The sequence below is a fragment of the Homo sapiens genome, chromosome 7 (genome assembly GCF_000001405.40).
Source record: "Homo sapiens chromosome 7, GRCh38.p14 Primary Assembly".
In the NCBI taxonomy this organism is placed as follows: domain Eukaryota; kingdom Metazoa; phylum Chordata; class Mammalia; order Primates; family Hominidae; genus Homo; species Homo sapiens.
In genome coordinates, this window is record NC_000007.14 from 72923140 (window position 1) to 72941504 (window position 18365).

The following is an 18365-nucleotide window of genomic DNA, read 5'->3' on the forward strand; positions in this document are numbered from 1 at the left end:
AAGTCTTATGTGAAATCGCAGTATATTAAATAGAAGCAGAATTGCTTTGGGACTGGGTTGGGGAGGATCTGGAACCCAAACTGCACTTTCTTCTCATCTCTCTGTGTTGCCCCAGAGGCATCTATACCTTTCCAACTTTTCTATCCCCCTAAACACCCTAATCTCCAGCGATACTGAACAATTCCATCTCTGGACTTCTGCACAGTGCTCCTTCATCTGCCTTGAACCTGCCAGACCTCTCAGCTCCAGGAGCACTTCCCTGTCTACCTTCCCCTTTATCATAACTTTTTTTTTTGAGACGGAGTCTTGCTCTGTCGACAGCCCAGGCTGGAGTGTGCAGTGGCACGATCTCGGCTCACTGCAACCTCCACCTCCCAGGTTCAAGCAATTCTCCTGCCTCAGCCTCCCGAGTAGCTGGGACTACAGGCAGGCGCCACCACGCCCGGCTAATTTTTTTTTTTTTTTTTTTTTTTTTTTTGAGACGGAGTCTCGCTCTGTCGCCCAGGCTGGAGTGCAGTGGCGGGATCTCGGCTCACTGCAAGCTCCGCCTCCCGGGTTCACGCCATTCTCCTGCCTCAGCCTCCCAAGTAGCTGGGACTACAGGCGCCCGCCACTACGCCCGGCTAATTTTTTGTATTTTTAGTAGAGACGGAGTTTCACCATATTGGTCAGGCTGGTCTCAAACTCCTGACCTCAGATGATCCGCCCACCTCGGCCTTCCAAAGTGCTGGAATTCAGGCACGAGCCACCGCGCCTGGCCTTCTTATTTTTTTTTCCTGTTATCACACTGATAACACTGAATTGCAATTTTTTTTTCTTTTTTTGAGACGGAGTCTCGGTCTGTCGCCCAGGTTGGAGTGCAGTGGCGCAATCTCGGCTCACTGCAACCTCCGCCTCCCGAGTTCACGCCATTCTCCTGCCTCAGCCTCCCAAGTTGCTGGGACTACAGGCGGCACGCCCGGCTAAGTTTTTTTTTTTTGGTATTTTTATTAGAGACGGGGTTTCACCATGTTAGCCAGGATGGTCTCGATCTCCTGACCTTGTGATCCGCCCACCCCGGCCTCCCAAAGTGCTGGGATTACAGGCGTGAGCCACCGCGCCCGGCCTGAATTGCAATCTTCTACTTACACATCTTCCTAACTAAACAGTTTCTAAAGATCAGAGATCCTATATTTTCCCCCTTAATCTCTTTAATGTACATAAACAATGGAATGAATAAATCAATGAATGAATGGCTGAGGAAACTGAACTACACCAAAGTGTATTGGCAGACTACCAGACTTTTTAAACAGCTTTATTAAGATATAATTCACATACCATGCAAATCATAGGGTGGTGCAATCACCACCACAATCTAATTTTAAACTATCTTTATGGTGCTACAAAAAAGCCTATAACCATGACCAGTCACTTTCTATTCCCCACCCCCAAACCCACTCCCTAGCCCTAGGCAACCACTAATCTACCTTCTCAGACCGTTAACTTTAGCATAGGTATAAGTCGATCACAGAGCCACAAAATCCACCCGATATCTGGGCCATGATGTGAAATTTGGTAGGTAATCGTCCCACGTTTTCAATTTGTAACATAGAAATGGAGGGGGGAGGGACTCACAACCGCTAGTAGCGTTTGTGAAAAGTACCTGGTAACAGGCTGTGCTGGAGGGGAATTCAGCCCCCATAAAAGATCACGGATTAGGAATTACGTAAGCATAGGTCTCGGGCCCTTTTATCTTGGACGCGATCCTTCCACGGGATCGCCTCCGGATGGATGTGGCGCTGGGAGCCACGCGGAAAACCTCAAGAGTCAGAAACAGGCGTTAAAGGCAGGCGGCATTTTCCAAACCAGTTGGGTCTCGGGCGCTGCCGGGCGGTAGCGTCTCCCGGAGTCGCGCGCGCATGACGTAGAGGGCGCGCGATGACGCGACGCGCGGCGCGGTGCACGCTGGGATATTTAAGTCTCCTCCGCGGCGCGGAGCCGCGATGTCTCCGGCGGCTGCGGCGGCTGGAGCAGGCGAGCGGCGGCGGCCCATAGCGAGTGTCAGGGACGGCCGGGGCCGGGGCTGCGGCGGGCCGGCCAGGGCGGTGCTCCTGGGCCTGTCGCTGGTTGGCCTCTTACTGTACCTCGTGCCGGCTGCGGCTGCACTGGCCTGGCTGACCGTGGGGGCTACCGCGGCCTGGTGGGGACTGAGCCGCGAGCCCCGAGGTTCGCGCCCCTTGTCCTCCTTCGTTCGGAAGGCGCGTCATCGGCGCCCCTTGTCCTCCTTCGTTCGGAAGGCGCGTCATCGGCGAACACTGTTCGCTTCGCCTCTGGCCAAGTCGACAGCCAACGGAAACCTCCTAGAGCCGCGGACCCTGCTCGAAGGACCTGACCCTGCGGAACTGCTACTCATGGGCAGTTACCTGGGCAAGCCCGGGCCGCCGCAGCCCGCCGCCGCTCCGGAGGGCCAGGACCTGCGGGATAGGCCTGGCCGCCGCCCACCTGCCCGCCCGGCGCCGCGCTCCCCACCGCCGCGCTCCCCACCGCCGCGCTCCCCCCCGCCCTCCCCGCCGACCCATCGCGCTCACCACGTTTACCCCTCTCTGCCCACTCCTCTTCTCCGACCCTCCAGGAGGCCTTCCCCACGGTAAGATGCGCTGATTTTGTCAGATCATCCTCTGGCTCGGCTGGCTTGAAATCGAGGACTTGACTTTTAAATCCGATTTGCTTTTTCATCAAGTCCCAAGGGGATTGTGTGTGGTTTTGCCCTCCTTAACACCTTGGTGTGTGCCAGCTGTCTCCTGGCCTCTGACTCTTGGAATGAGATGTTGTGTTGCCAAAACGATTCTCTTCTTTCCAGTTCTAAAAACTCCTCGAATTTTAGTGCAGCCTAGATGTAGTCTAGATTTAGATTTTCCCTCTCAAACTGTTGAAATCCATTGTTGAGACAGCTGTTAAGCAGCTGTCACTCTCTGGCCTTAGATGGAATAAGGGAAAGTTGCCATAAAAACACCGTGTTCTGTGTTGCTTAGAAAGAGACTTAAGTTCTTTGGAAAATGTCTGAACTGGTGGGTTTTTAACCGTTTAAAAATTTGACATTCTTTTTTGCTTTGGTTCCGTGATTTGTCTCGCATTCTCTGCAGGGATTGTGGGACTTTACCAAATCGGTTTGTAATAACACCTAGAAGACGCTATCCGATCCATCAGGCCCAGTATTCCTGTCTGGGGGTACTTCCCACCGTGTGCTGGAATGGTTATCACAAGAAGGCTGTGCTGTCCCCTCGCAACTCCAGGATGGTGTGTAGCCCAGTGACTGTGAGGATCGCCCCTCCTGACAGAAGATTTTCGCGTTCTGCGATGTGAGTATTATCGTTGGAAGAATACTCTCCCTTTTCGTGTCCACTTTATTCTTCTCCAGTTGTTCCTATGACATGACTACAACGCAGAAAAGAAAGGACGAAGCTGCTTATTTGATGAGAAATACCAAATTCTAGTAAACCCTTTTGTTTTTCACTTTTTGCTCTTAACGAAAAAGTAGCTTTACTTGCTAACGGGAACTGCTGTGAGTGTATAAATTATACTTTGGCCTGTTGGTTAGCTTCTGATTTCTTGTTTCTGAAGTCTGTGCTATATGGCATGGGAATTAAAATATCTTACAGCTAGAATCTTGTCTTTCATTGTAGACCAGAGCAGATAATCAGCTCAACACTGTCCTCACCATCAAGTAACGCCCCAGACCCATGTGCAAAGGAGACAGTACTGAGTGCCCTCAAAGAGAAGGAGAAGAAAAGGACAGTGGAGGAAGAAGACCAAATATTCCTTGATGGCCAGGAAAATAAAAGAAGGTAACAGGCTCAGGAGAGTACTAAGCCGGTTTCGCGCTTGGACTCCTATGGGATGAGATGTAGACATTCCCATATAGATACAGAGGCCATCTCCAGTTTATGAGCCTTCGTAGGCCCCCTTCTTTGGCTTACATGGAGGAATCTAATAACAAGGGTTTTAATGCTGCTCTTTTCAAGGCACAGGTTAGATCGATGTTGTAATTTACCTTTTCCGTGAGTAGTAGAGATAAGCTGACTGCTATTAGCCACGCTACCCTCATACTTTTGTAGAAATGTGTTAAAGTTTATTTTCAAGAAAGAAGGCTCTAAGTCTTCCCGTCGGAATTTTGTGGTGTTCAGTTACTTGGGTAACCACCAGTTCCATGTTCCAGTGTCTTAATTGTGCTGAAGGAAATGCTTGTGAAAGAAAAATGAAAACTAGAGTTTGGTAGATTTATCAGTAATGAGGTTAAAACCAATTTCCTGGCAGGGCAAGGTGGCTCAGGCCTGTAATCTCAGCACTTTGAGAGGCCGACACGGGTGGATCACCTGAGGTCAGGAGTTCGAGACCAGCCTGGCCAACATGGTGAAACCCCATCTCTACTAAAAATTCAAAAATTAGCTGGATGTGGTGGTGGGCGCCTGTGATCCCAGCTACTCGGAAGGCTGAGACAGGAGAATTGCTTGAACCCAGGAGGCGGAGGTTGCAGTGAGCTGAGACTGCCACCATACTCCAGCCTGGGTGACAAAGCGAGACTGTCTCCAAAAAAAAAAAATCCTTATGTGGTTTATAGAATAAGCTAATGAAAATGGAATAAATAAATAGTTTTCTAAGTATAGAAAGAAAGGAAGTTGAAGTGGCTGAGCATTTATTGAGCACCCACTGTGTATGGGACCCTACTCCAAGTGCTATGGATAGAGCGGTGGACAAGACAAAATCCCTGCTCTCATGGGACTCTTGAGGGAAACACCATTTTATAAGGCTGGGTGTGGTGCTGCACGCTTGTACTCCTAACACTTTGACAGGCCAAGATGGGAGGATCGCTGGAGCCCAGTTGCTCAAGACCAGCCTGGGCAACATAGTGAGACCTCGCCTCTACAAAAAATTAAGAAATTAGCCAGGTGTGGTGGTGCATACCTGTAGTCCCAGCTACTCTGGAGGCTGAGGCAGGAGAATCGCTTGAACCCAGGAGGCAGAGGTTTGTTGCAGTGAGCCAAGATCGTGCTATTGCACTCCAGCCTGGGCAACAAGAGCGAAACTCTGTCTGAAAAAAAAAAAATTTACCTTTCAGAAGCTTAGGGATTTTAAACAACCATTTTCTGGTCTATCATGGAATCTGTGCTCCATAGAGATAGTATAAGGTCCCAGAAATATGAGAATACACTTTAAAGGGACAAAAAAAGTCATGTCATTTCATTGAGACTTTTTTGATTTGTCGCAGGCGCCATGATAGCAGTGGCAGTGGACATTCAGCATTTGAGCCCCTGGTGGCCAATGGAGTCCCCGCTTCTTTTGTGCCTAAGTAAGTGGGAGTCCATCCGGATGAAATACCAACTGTTTGGAAAAAGGCCTGATCAGAGCTGTTGCCCTATAGATTTTCCTCTTTGTTTTTTGCATTGCTTAATTGGTTCAGGTTCACGTCTTTGAAATTAGGAACGTTTTGAGTAACTTGCCACAGTTAACTGCCTTCTGTCTAATTCCTTTTAATGTTCTTGCATTAATATGGATGAAATATGCTGAGACTTAAGAGGTTTTATAAATATATTTAATAACCAAGCACATACACAGAAGGATTGCAAAGTTTGTGCAGTGGATAAAACAGTATGAAACCTAAATGTTAAATTTCTACATGTCAGTTTAAAAACAAATTGGAGGAAGAATTGGGTGGAAAGGAAAGTGGCTCAAAAGTATGTGTGGAAAGACTTAGGATACCTTAGGTACCTCATCTGAGTCAGCAGTGTGATGTGGCCGCCAGGAAAGCTAAAGTGCTCCTGGTCTGTGCTGTTAGAAGAAAGACTAGAATGAGGCAGGTGGATGGTATTCCTGCCTTCCGTAGTTCTGCTCACTGTCCGTGGAGCACTGTGGTCAGATCAGTGTACTGCACTGCGAGGGAGGATGTACACAAACGGAAATTCATTCCCAGTGAAGCAATGAAGATGTTAAGGAGATTTGCAACAGCCCAAAGGGGTGGTGGTGGATGTTGGGGTTTTGGAGGTATGGAAGTATTAGCCCAGAGGAGAAAAGTCTCAGGGGGAATAAAGAAATAAGTGAGGGAAGGACAATGGTCTCCAAAAAACCAAAGGACTGTCCCTTGAAAGAAGCAAAATAACTTGCTCTGTTTGACTTCAAATAGGATCCGTGGGTGAAAGAGGAAATACACTGTAATCCACTGTAAGAATAAACTGGTTCATGGTTGACGTGGGTCACTCTAGGAGAGAGTTGTCTATATTGTAACAGGTTGGATGACTGTCCTACAGAAAAGATGCGTAGGAGATTTCTGTTTCCATTGGAGGTTTAGTAAAATGATGGGTTCCTCTTAACTCTGATTTTTTTTTAATAGCTTTGTTGAGATATAATTGACATAAAATAGACCGTACTTGTTTAAAGCATGTGACATTTTGACACACATACACCTGTGGAACCATCCCACCACTAAGATAATGAACATCCTTCACCTCCAAAAGTTCCCACATGCCTGTAATCCCTCTCTTTACTTCCACCCCTGTTCCCAGGCATCCACTGATCTGTCTTCTGTCACTGTAGATAGGTATGCATTTTCCAGAATATTCTATAAATGGAAATCATACATTTAAGTTTTAAATATTTGGCTTTTCTTACTGACTTTGTCAGATAGATTTGGCCAGATTGTTAGCAGTAAAAATTAAAAGCATTATTCTCTTCCCTTCATGTTATTAAGAAAGATGTCATGACCGTGGATGAAATCGTAAAAGAATTTTGCCTTCAATAAAGCATCTAACTGTCTTCTCTTTTATTAGGCCTGGGTCTCTGAAGAGAGGCCTCAATTCTCAGAGCTCAGATGACCACTTGAATAAGAGATCCCGAAGCTCTTCCATGAGCTCCTTGACAGGCGCTTACGCAAGTGGCATCCCTAGCTCCAGCCGCAATGCCATTACCAGTTCCTACAGCTCCACTCGAGGCATCTCACAGGTACAAGTACAGCTCTTTTAATGTGGGGGACATGAATTCCCAGCGTTCATTCATTGACTAGGGCCAGACATGGTAGCTTAGCCATGTAATCCCAGCACTTTGGAAGGCCAAAGCGGGAGGATTGCTTGAGCCCAGGAGTTCAAAACCAGCCTGGGCAATATAGTGAAACCTTGTCTGTACAAAAGAATTTTTAAAGAAAATTTTTTAAATAAAGTAATTGATTAGCAAAGGTTTACTGATCACCTTCTATCTGTCAGACATTAGAATTGTCTTTAAGCTAATAGAAAATACAGATCATTGAGTGATCAATATAGGCCAGCGGAATGGAGTAGAAAGCCCAGAATGTACAGCAGTGCATGTGTGCGAGCTGATTCGAGACAGAGCTGTGTTGTAGATAAACGGACAGAGGGTGATTCGAAAGGTAGACTGAGTCCAGCTTGTATTGGGTCGTAAAAGAGATTTATCTTATAGGCGTTTAGAATTGAAAGCGGGGTTTTTAAACAAGTGGTCATGATTTTTTGGAAAAGGGATTATCGCATAGTATAGGGAACAGGGCAGGCTTTGCTGCTGGACAGACTTAGATTCAAATCTTGGCTCTGAGGCTGGGCGGGATGGCTCATGCCTGTAATCCCATCACTTTGGGAGGTCAAGGTGGGAGAACCTCTTGAGTCCAGGAGTTCAAGACTAGCCTGTGCAACAGAGCAAGACTGTGTCTCAAAGAAAAGGAAAAAAATGCTTGGCTCTGACATCTAGTAGCTATAAGGTCTTGGGCAGACAATCACATAACATCTCTTTTTCTTATCTCTGAAGTGCTGTTGCAGTGATTGAGGGTAATATTTAAAAAGCACCTATTACAGTGGCTGTCAGTAAGTGGGTACCCAGTATACAGCAGCCAGACAAAAAGATGTAAAGCATGTATGGAGAAATGTTTTTGAGAGGAGGAAGATTTTGAGACGAGTTCATCAGCCCAGAAGGCTCTGACAGTCATATAAATGAACATTAATGACCGTAATATCATTATCCCTCTTAATAATTTAAGAGGGATAATTAATATTATTTAATATCTAGTTATTATTTTTGATATGCAAACTTTTCCAGCTTTGGACTATGGGTTCCAAACTGGCTCCTGTATCCTTTATTTTGATCCCAGCAGTCTTCGACAGATAGCTTCATTGCTTTTTGCCCACCTTCCCAAAGTCCATTTTTAGCCTATACCGAAGTTGGGTGTTTCTTCAGAAAGCTTTGGTTTCTTCCAGTTAGAACTGTAGAGACTACAGTCTAAGTTTTAGGAGAGATAAGATAGACAGATCCTCTAGAAAGGGGAATATAAATAATTCATAATATTCCAAATTCAAATTTATGATAGTAGGATTTTTTATGTAATTTATTTGATTTTATATTTTTATGTATTACACCAAAAATGTCGGTTTATAATTACTTTGATCCTAGTAACACGCAATTTCTTTTTTTTTTTTTTTGCCGGAGTCTTACTCTTGTCGCCCAGGCTGGAGCACAGTGGTGCGACCTTGACTCACTGCAATCTCCGCTTCCTGAGTTCAAGCGATTCTCCTGCCTCAGCCTCCCAAGTAGTTGAGACTATAGGTGCCCGCCACCATGCCCAGCTAATTTTTGTATTTTTAGTAGAGACGAGATTTCACCATGTTGGCCAGGCTGGCATCGAACTCGTGACCTCAGGTGATCCACCCACCTTGGCCTCCCAAAGTGCTGGGATTACAGGCATGAGCCACCACGCCTGGCCCATGCAATTTCAAAATAGCGGTATCAGTGTCATTGTTAACACTGTCATTATTAAGACGGCTGAAGTCAGTTTAAGAATTGTGATTCATTTGTCTTTATATCCCTGTGTGAATGCTACGGACATGTAATCAATATATCGTGTTTTAAAGTAATGTTAATTGTCCTTTGGGTACACCAACTTTATATACAGTGAGGTTCGTTTGTTCAGTATGTTTGAAAGTTACAGGGATTTCTGTGTTTTCCTTTTTGAAATAGTTCTGTTTTAAATTATGTAAAATCTTTGAAACAATAAGTTGTTTCAAAAAAAATACACTAAAACAAGATACACTCAAAAATTCAGTTTCCATCCCTTTCCACTCTACATTTTTCCTTCCTCTCCATTTTTATTTTTTGATTATCCTTTATTGTTTTTTAAACGGTATGCATATCAGTGTATCTGAAAACCGCCACCTTCTAACATTTAAGGTAGTAGACAGTATATACAGATTTGAACCTTGCTTTTTCACATAATAGATAGTTGAGGTCATTCCATAGCAGTACACAGAAACTCATCTTTGGTCTTAAAACTGCATAGGTACTTTAGTCCTCTGTTGACAAATGTTGGGTTGTTTCAGTCTTCTGCTATCACAAATAATGCTGCAAAGAATACATTTGTTCATATGTCATTTCATCCTTGGCAATTTTGCCTCTGGAAAGTTCCTAGAAGTCAGATTCCCAGGTCAAAGGTTAAATGCGCATGTAATTTTGCTGGATATTGTTAAATCCCCCTACAGAGCATGCACCACTCAGCATTCCCCTCAGCGTTGTATGAGAGGGACCATTTCTCCATGGCCTCACCAGCAGATTTGGTTATTGTAGCTCTGGGCTTTTACCAATTTCACAGGTTAAAAATAGTATCTAAGACAGGCGTGGCAGCTCATGCCTGTAATCCCAGCACTTTGAGAGGCCGAGGAAGGCAGATCACTGGAGGTCAGGAGTTCGAGATCATCCTAGCCAACATGGTGAAATCCTGTCTCTACTAAAAACATAAAAATTAGCTGGGCATGGTGGCACATGCCTGTAATCCCAGCTACTCAGGAGGCTGAGGAAGGAGAATATCAGGAACCTGGGAGGCAGGGGTTGCAGTGAGCAGAGATAGCGCCACTCCACTCCAGCCTGGGCGACAGAGTGAGACTCTGTCTCAAAAAAAAAAAAAAAGCCAGCCGAGCTTGGTGGCTTACACCTGTAATCCCAGCACTTTGGGAGGCTGAGGCAGGTGGATCACCTGAAATCCGGAGTTTGAGACCAGCCTGGCCAACGTGGCAAAAACCGGTTGCTACTAAAAATACAAAAAATTTAGCCAGGCGTGGTCGTGTGTGCCTGTAATCCCAGTTACTTGGGAGGCTGAGGCAGGAGAACTGCTTGACCCTGAAAGGCAGAGGTCAAGTGAGCCGAGCTCACGCCACTGCCCTCCAGCCTGGACGACAGAGTGAGATTCTGTCTCAAAGAAAAAAAGGTATCTAATTTTTGTCTCTTATGAGTAGTTTGATCATCTGTTCATATGTTGAATGATTATTTTCAGTTCTGTTTCCATGAGTCTTAGTTCATATCCTTTACCCATTTTTCTGAAGGGCTACCAGCCAAATCTCATGTTCAAGAGTTTTTCCTATAGTAGAGAAACCTATTCCAAATGAAGCAAAGTTTTGAACGTAAAATAGAAACCATAGAAGTGCAGTGTTAGAAGAAACAGGCTCCTCACGCGTTGCTGGTGGGAGTGTCAGTTGGTACAGCTCTCTAGAGGGCTTTGTGACAGGAATTGTCCACATAAGAGATACATGCACCCTTTGATCAAGCAGCTTTACCTTTAGGAAGTTATCCTACACACATACTGGGAAATGGATACAAGGATTTAATGTAACATTGTTTTAATAATAGCAGCTTGGAAACAATGTACATGTTATCTTTTCAGGGAGCTGACTGAATAACTTACAGTATTGGTGTAAGTTGGAATATACTATGTAACTATGAAAAAGAATAAGGCAACTGAAGAAGTACTCATGAGAATGATCTCAAAAAGCAATTACATAAAAACAAGGCTCAGAACTGTATAGTATCCTCTATTATTCGGGCTTTTAAAAATCTTTTAATATGCATAAAATAATTCTTACAGGATATATTAAAAACTGGCAATCATTACTGAGATAAAAAGGAAATTTACTTTTTACTGTACAGTCTTTTTTTTTTTCTTTCTTTTGAGACAGAGTCTCGCACTGTCGCCCGGGCTGGAGTGCAGTGCTGTGACCTTGGCTCACTGCAACCTCCACCTCCTGGGTTCAAGCAATTCCCCAGTCTCAGCCTCCCAAGTAGCTGGGATTACAGGCACCCACCACCATGCCCGGCTAATTTTTGTATTTTTAGTAGAGATGGGTTTTCACCATGTTGGCTAGGATGGTCTCGAACTCGTGACCTCAGGTGATCCGTCCGCCTTGGCCTCCCGAAGTGCTGGGATTACAGGCGTGAGCCACCACACCTGGCCCCAAGTTGTTGTCTTTTTCTTAGAGATTTGAATACGCTCTTTATATGTTCTAGATACAAGCTGTCTGTCATGTATGTGTTGCAACAAAAAAGTGTCCTGCTCTTGCCATTCTACTTCCTTGTGGTTAGCATACTTTGTGTAGTATTCAGGAAATCTTTGCCTACCTAACCTAAGGTCATGATAATTTTCTTCTGTGCTACCTTCTAGAAGCTTTATTATTTTATTATTACTTTTATATGTAAATCCATAAACCACCTGAAATTAATTTTTGTATATGGTGTGAGGTTGGAATCAAAATTAGTTTTTTTTGTGTTTGGTGGTGTTGGTGGTTTTTGTTGTTGTTGTTGTTGTTTTTTACTGTAGAAATACCCATTTCTCTTAGCAACATTTATTGAAAGGACCATCCTTATTTCTCTGCAGCACCGTCTTTGTCTAATTTAAGTGTCTGTATATATGTGGGTCCATTTCTAGACTCTGTTTTGTTCCATTGGTCTATTTTTCTACCTACCCTTGTGCCAGTCTTTGTTTTACCCCTAGCCTTATACTTTAAGTCTTGATAGAGTCAGTCATCCCACTTTCTCATTTCTCTTCAGGACTGTCTTGTATCTTGGCCTTTTGCATTTTCATATAATTTTTAGATCAACTTGTCAATTTCCACAAAAAAAAAAAAAAGTTCTGAGATACTGATTGGGATTGCCTTTCATCTACTGATTACTTTGGATGGAATTAACATTGTTACAATATTGACCTTGTTTACTTCTAATCTATGAACATGGAATGTCGTTATTTATTTATTTAACTTTTGAGACAAGGGGTCTTGCTCTGTGGCCCAGGCTGGAGTGCAGTGACATGATCATAGCTCACTACTGCCTTGAACTCCCAGGCTCAAGCGATTCTCCTGCCTCAGCCTCTTGAGTAGCTGGGACCACAGGCATGCATCACCACACCTAGCTAATTTTTAAAAACTTATAATAGAGACACAGTCTCACTATGTTGCCTAGGCTGGTCTCAAACTCCTGAGCTCAAGCAATCTTCCCACCTTGGCCTCCCTGAGTGCTGGGATTGTAGGCGTGAGCCACCATGTCCTGCCTCCTTCATTTATTTACATCATCTCTATTTCTTCTCTGTAGAGGTTTTACTTCTTTTTTATTAGATTTACAATCTCGGCTCACTGCAGCCTCCACCTGCTGGGTTCAAGTGATTCTCCAGCCTCAGACTTCCGAGTAGCTGAGATTACAGGCACGTGCCACCACACCTGGCGAATTTTTGTAGTTTTAGTAGAGACAGGGTTTCACCTTGTTGGCCAGGCTGATCTCAAACTCCTGACCTCAGGTGATCCACCTGCCTCTGCCTCCCAAAGTGCTGAGATTACAGGCGTGAGCCACGGCGCCTGGCCCTAGGTATATGCTATTCTAAATAGTGCCTTCATATATGCTATTCTAAATAGTGCCTTCAAAATGTGATTGGCTGTGCTGGTGTGTAGAAATACAACTGATTTTGTATTCAGAAAGTTTGCTAAATCTGTATGTTCTTTAGGATTTTAGTACATACACTCAGGTCTATGATAATGAGTTTTTCCTTTCCTCTGCAATCTTATTCTGTTTATGTCTTGCTGCACTTGGCTAGGACTTTAAGTTGAATAGACATGATAATAAACATCCTTGTCTTGTTAGATCTGAAATGAGTGTGTATGTACAGTCAATGAAGTAGAGGAGTAATACTTTTTTCCCCTAATTGTTAAACCAGTTGTTCAGTTGTCTTCCAGTCCTAGCTAATCATTACAGTCTCCTTTGGCATTTCTGTTTTTTCTTTATTTTTTCTTGGTAGAGATGAGACTTCACTATGTTACCTAGGCTGGTCTCAAAACTCTTGGGCTCAAGTGATCCTCCCACCTTGGCCTCCCAAAGTGTTGGGATTACAGGCATGCACCACCACACCTGGCTAATTTTTGTATTCCTTTTTTTTTTTGAGACGGAGTCTTGCTCTGTCTCCCAGCCATTCTCCTGCCTCAGACTCCCAAGTAGCTGGGACTACAGGCACCTGCCACCACACCCGGCTAATTTTTTGTATTTTTAGTAGAGACGGGGTTTCACCATGTTAGCCAGGATGGTCTCAATCTCCTGACCTCGTGATCCGCCCACCTTGGCCTCCCAAAGTGGTGGGATTACAGGCGTCAGCCACCGTGCCCAGCTTGTTTTTGTATTTCTAGAAGAGATGAGGTTTCACCATGTTGGCCATGCTGGTCTGGAATTCCTGACCTCAGGTGATCCTCCTGCCTCAGCCTCCTGAAGTGCTAGGATTACAGGTGTGAGCCACCTCGTCTGGCCCCTTTGGCATTTCTGACCCTTGCTTGCTCAGTGATGTGTATCCCTCAGTGTCTGGAGCACATTGTGAAGAAAAATGCAAGGTTTATGGTTTTTATTGTTTTAATTTTATTACTTTAACTACAGGTAAGGTCTTGCTATGTTGCCCAGGCTGGTCCGAAACTCCTGGGCTCAAGCAGTTCTCCTGCCTCAGTTCTGAAAGTGCTAGGATTACAGGTGTGAGCCACCGCACTCGGCCATCTATGTGCTTTTAAAGTTCCACAGGTGGCTAGGTGTGGTGGCTCACGCCTGTAATCCCAGCACTTTTGGAGGCCAAGGCAGGCAGATCACGAGGTCAAGAGATCAAGACCATCCTGGCCAACATGGTGAAACCCTGTCTCTACTAAAGATACAAAAATTAGCTGGGTGTGGTGGCATGTTCCTGTAGTCCCAGCTACTCGGGAGGCTGAGGCAGGAGAATCGCTTGAACCAGGGAGGCGGAGGTTGCAGTGAGCTGAGATCGCGCCACTGCACTCCAGCCTGGTAACAGAGCAAGGCTCCGTCTCAAAAAAAAAAAAAGTTCCACAGGTGACTGAGCCGTCCTTTGAGAACCAGTGAGGTAGTGTCAGGGATCTGAAGTGATTGAAAATGCCGCTTATATATTCAATCCTTGGATCCCTTTGATGAATTTTTGTATTCTGCTCTTTTATATGCCTGTAATCCCATGTTTTTTAAACCATTGTGCTCTGGCCTTTCTTGCTGTTTGAGCGTAACTTCAACTGTTATTGCCGTGAGCAGTCTTCTCAAGCTCCTCCTGGGCCCGGCTTCCTGATGGTGGCCTCACTGAACTGTTCTGCTGCTTACCACTTGTCTGAAGCTTCCTCTTTTCCCTTTTTGAACTCTTATTAAGCATTGCTGGCTTCCTGTTTGTACTTATATGATGTAGCTGGTACTGGGTAAGAAATCACTAGCAGCTTTTCAAGTAGGAAAGACGGTCTGAGGTGACAGTTTAGTGGCTTTGTAATTAGGCTCAGCACTTACGAGACTATTTGCAGTGTCCGCTCTGTGCCATCTACTTTGCTGCTGGTCTGTGGAGGAAGCAGAGATGAAAACACCGTCTTTGCTGTCAAGAACTCACCTGGTGGAAGAGGCAGATGTATGGATAATCATCACATGATGATAAATGCCATCGTTGTTGCAAAAGTCATAAACGTTACGACAGCATATTTTTAAAATGAAGTTAGTAAATTAAAATAGAAAATTTAATAGAAGCAAGACTAAATTAGTTTACTGGGTTATCTTCTTTAATTTACTTCTATCCTCTCCGTAGACAGTCTGGCACAGGTTTGAATGTGTCCTGGCTCTTCATTACTGAGGCTAACGTTCCACCTAATATATGCAAAAGTGTGTCCATCCCTTCTACCTTTATTCGCATTCCATTACTTTTATAGACTTTTCTTCTTTTGCTTTCATAATTAATACTGGCAGTTGACTTTCTTTTCAGGGGTCTTTCTTCACAAACAAATTTTTTTCATTTTCTTTTCTTTTTTTTTTTTTGAGACAGGGTCTCACTCTGTCACCCAGGCTGGAGTGCAGTGGGGCAATCTCAGCTCACTGCAGCATCCTGAGTAGTTGGGACCACAGATGCAAACCACCACACCCAACTGATTTTTCAGTTTTTTTGTAGAGACAGGGGTCTCGCTATGTTACCCAGGCTGGGCTCAAATTCCTGGGCTCAAGCGATCCTCCCACCTTGGCCTCCCAGCATGCTGGGATTACAGGCATGACTAACCATTTAACCATAAAGAATGTTTTTTTAGTCACTTGAAAAGAGACTTTGTCGTGTTGAGGGTCAGATGCTAAGTTATCAGCAGGCTCAGTCATGTCCCTCTTGATTTTTAGCTCTGGAAGAGAAATGGCCCCAGTTCATCACCCTTCTCTAGCCCAGCCTCCTCCCGCTCCCAGACACCGGAGAGGCCAGCAAAGAAAATAAGGTACTTGGCATTCTCCTGCAGTTTTCATTTGCTGCGTGGACAGGCGGGGGTGAGGAAAGGTGGGAAACGAACCTGGCTCTTAGGCTTTGTGCTGCTGTGACTTGGAGAATCAAAGAAACTTAAGTCCCTGAGAGGTACAATGCAGTACCCACCCGAAGTGCTGTCATCCCTACAGTCTTGGATACTGACTCCAGTGGCCTCTGGCTGTCGCCTCCCACTCCAGCATGAGGGATCGGGTGCAAGCACAGAGGCCATGCAGAGTGGAGAGCAGAGAGAGTCAAGTCAGCGGGCAGTCGCCTTCAGGTTCTTGACTCGAGCTGACCCCCTAGGTGCTTGCAGTTGGCTGGAATGCCACTCCCTCAGGGATCACATCTGTGTCTAGAACTCCCAGGGACTTGATAGGTTGTAAGTAAGGTTTGAAGATTATTGTTTTGTGCTTGTTTTAAGACAAAAGCTGTCTTCATGGCCTCTGTGAACAGCCTCCCTTCATTCTGTTGGAATTTCCTGTTGACTTTTTTTATCCTGGCATACTGAGATCTTAAATGATGGTTGTTTTAGACATTGGCCACTTGGTAGTTAGGAGGGTGTGAGAAATTATTTAATACTTCAGCCAAGAAGCCTTTCTAGACTAAATTGTTCCTTTTTTCCTGACAGAGAAGAGGAGCTGTGTCATCATTCCAGTTCTTCAACTCCATTGGCAGCAGACAGGGAGTCCCAGGGAGAAAAGGGTAGGTTGCTGAGCCAGGAGGAGGGGCTGCTGTTGGTGGTGGAGGTGTTTGTGGAGGATGTAGAGATTAATACCTATTGAAAAAAGGTCTTGAGCATTGCTATGTCTAAGGCATGTTAGATACAAAGAGAGAGATTTCCTCTCCTTCAGAAGTTTATAGTCTGATGAGGGAGAAAGGCTACAGACAGGGACTAACGATTGGATAGAGGTAAGCTCAGTTTGAGTCACCTGTGGGTGATCCCAGTAATTACTGCACAGTAAGCGGTTTGTGTGCGCGCCTTAATCTTGCAAACACCATCCAAGCAACCAAACCATAGAAGATTGAATCTTTTCAGAGATACCCATTGAAAACTCAATGTGAAATGCGAAGTGGGTAGACACAACCATCCATTTCTGGAAGAGGGAAGGAAGCAAACGAGTCTTGATTTCTTTCTTTAGCTGCAGATACAACCCCAAGGAAGAAACAAAACTCGAATTCTCAGTCTACACCTGGCAGCTCTGGGCAGCGTAAGCGGAAAGTTCAGCTGCTGCCTTCTCGGCGAGGGGAACAGCTGACCTTGGTATGGTCTTGTCCATCTACTCCTGCCCTCCCCGGCTTAGCTCTCCTAAGTATTAGGAACGCTAAGGACAAGTTTCTTCTGATTTTTTTTCTAATTTATTTTTGTTTTTGTTTTTTGAGACAACATCCCTCTGTCACCCAGGCTGGAGTGCAGTGGCTCGATTTTGGCTAACCGTAACCTCTGCCTCCTGAGTTCAAGCAATTCTCCTGCCTCAGCCTCCCAAGTAGCTGGGATTACAGGTGCTTGCTACCACGCCTGGTTGATTTTTTGTGTTTTTAGTAGAGATGGGGTTTCACCATGTTGGCCAGGCCGGCCTCAAACTCCTGACCTCAAGTGATCCAGCTGGCTTGGCCTCCCAAAGTGCTGAGATTACCGGTGTGAGCCACCATGCCTAGCCTTCCCGTTTTTTCTGATTGGCCTGACTTCTTCTTTTTCACTTTGGTAGCCTCCACCTCCCCAGCTTGGCTATTCGATCACTGCCGAGGACCTAGACTTAGAGAAGAAGGCTTCATTACAGTGGTTCAACCAGGCCTTGGAGGACAAGAGCGGTAAGGAGCACAGATTGTTGCACACTGGAGAGGTTTCAGGTGTCTGTTTTCTTTGGTTTTATTTTGGTGTTTGAAAAAATGGGTTTCTCTGGGAAAATCCCAAGTAGGGTTCCATGTTTTCTTGTGGTCTTTCTCACCTGAGATATCCGTGTTGGTCTTCACGGGAACTGGACAGCAGGGACCACTGCAATTGAGGGCAGGCATTCCTCCATGAGCTGTGCTGAGAGCCTGCTCTCCGACAGGCATGTGGAAAGAAGTCCCAGACAAGCCAGGACTGCTTCACCTTTCTTTCTTTCTTAGATGCTGCCTCGAACTCTGTCACTGAGACCCCACCTATCACTCAGCCTTCATTTACCTTTACCCTGCCTGCTGCTGCACCTGCCTCCCCACCCACCTCCCTCCTGGCCCCAAGCACCAACCCACTGTTAGAGAGCTTGAAGAAGATGCAGACTCCCCCGAGCCTGCCACCCTGCCCAGGTGAGCTGGAGTGGGGCCGTGGATCCAGCCTTCTGAGCAGCATCCCCGGCTTGAGTTGGAATAAGGGCGTCGTGCCTGTCAGTCGCTGGAGATTGCTCTGCAGGCCGAACGCACCCTGGCTCAGCACACCGGAGCGGGCCCACGTTTAACAGCGCCAGAGCCCGCATCAGGAAGTGTTAGAGAAGGGGTGCTGCGACGCTCAGGATCTGAAGCCTGGCTCGTAGCTGCCCTGAGCCTCGCCTTCCTCATCTGTCAGATGAGAATGATCTTCCCTGTGCGGCACCTCTGAAGTGTGAATGTGGTGGCGTGGTCAGGATATCCTTGCCTGTCAGAACCACTGGTCCAGAACAGCACTGCTTCCTTTCCCTCCAGCACTTCGAGGGCTGCTGGTGTTCCCGGCCCAGGCCTTCACGGCACTGCGCGCGCACACCTCTTTATCAGACGGTAACCTGGGGTTCGTACGCACCCTCCCTGCTCAAGGGCAGAGACTTCCCCATTCATAGTTGTGTGC

At 45.7% G+C, this 18365-nt stretch overlaps 1 protein-coding gene across 24 annotated transcripts in view, besides 6 other annotated features; it reads left to right on the plus strand.

Moving 5' to 3' along the window:
• The window catches only part of POM121 (POM121 transmembrane nucleoporin), a 72103-nt gene that overhangs the window by 43783 nt on the left and 9955 nt on the right, over positions 1–18365 (plus strand). For 13 of the 24 annotated variants that reach the window (NM_001257190.3, NM_001387688.1, NM_001387689.1 and 10 more), the window contains 9 exons: positions 3123–3338; positions 3663–3824; positions 5246–5326; positions 6801–6972; positions 15451–15542; positions 16197–16270; positions 16708–16829; positions 17275–17377; positions 17678–17854. In NM_001257190.3, the coding sequence (NP_001244119.1) occupies positions 3274–3338; positions 3663–3824; positions 5246–5326; positions 6801–6972; positions 15451–15542; positions 16197–16270; positions 16708–16829; positions 17275–17377; positions 17678–17854 (1048 nt within the window). In that variant the 5' untranslated portion in view covers positions 3123–3273. Of the gene's footprint in view, positions 1–1955; positions 2627–3122; positions 3339–3662; positions 3825–5245; positions 5327–6800; positions 6973–15450; positions 15543–16196; positions 16271–16707; positions 16830–17274; positions 17378–17677; positions 17873–18365 lie in introns of those variants that run through there. The other 11 variants (NM_001367610.1, NM_001387702.1, NM_001387703.1 and 8 more) reach the window with 7 other exon arrangements.
• Positions 1542–2103: an enhancer, noted in NCBI's record as "H3K27ac hESC enhancer chr7:72395219-72395780 (GRCh37/hg19 assembly coordinates)". NCBI's record gives its function as "activates a minimal SCP1, AML or CMV promoter by ChIP-STARR-seq in primed H9 embryonic stem cells {active_cell/tissue: H9 hESC(primed)}" and the evidence as "EXISTENCE:reporter gene assay evidence [ECO:0000049][PMID:30033119]".
• Positions 1542–2150: a biological region, named in NCBI's record as "H3K27ac hESC enhancer GRCh37_chr7:72395219-72395780".
• Positions 2041–2150: a silencer, noted in NCBI's record as "silent region_18242". NCBI's record gives its function as "represses an Ori minimal core promoter by ATAC-STARR-seq in GM12878 lymphoblastoid cells {active_cell/tissue: GM12878}" and the evidence as "EXISTENCE:reporter gene assay evidence [ECO:0000049][PMID:35858748]".
• Positions 2104–2664: an enhancer, noted in NCBI's record as "H3K27ac hESC enhancer chr7:72395781-72396341 (GRCh37/hg19 assembly coordinates)". NCBI's record gives its function as "activates a minimal SCP1, AML or CMV promoter by ChIP-STARR-seq in primed H9 embryonic stem cells {active_cell/tissue: H9 hESC(primed)}" and the evidence as "EXISTENCE:reporter gene assay evidence [ECO:0000049][PMID:30033119]".
• Positions 3098–4297: an enhancer, noted in NCBI's record as "BRD4-independent group 4 enhancer chr7:72396775-72397974 (GRCh37/hg19 assembly coordinates)". NCBI's record gives its function as "activates an origin of replication core promoter dependent on BRD2, P300/CBP, MED14 and CDK7 cofactors, and independent of BRD4, by STARR-seq in HCT116 cells {active_cell/tissue: HCT116}" and the evidence as "EXISTENCE:reporter gene assay evidence [ECO:0000049][PMID:35650434]".
• Positions 10928–11118: a silencer, noted in NCBI's record as "fragment chr7:72404605-72404795 (GRCh37/hg19 assembly coordinates)". NCBI's record gives its function as "represses an EF-1alpha promoter that drives an FKBP-Casp9 reporter gene in an ReSE screen in K562 erythroleukemia cells {active_cell/tissue: K562}" and the evidence as "EXISTENCE:reporter gene assay evidence [ECO:0000049][PMID:32094911]".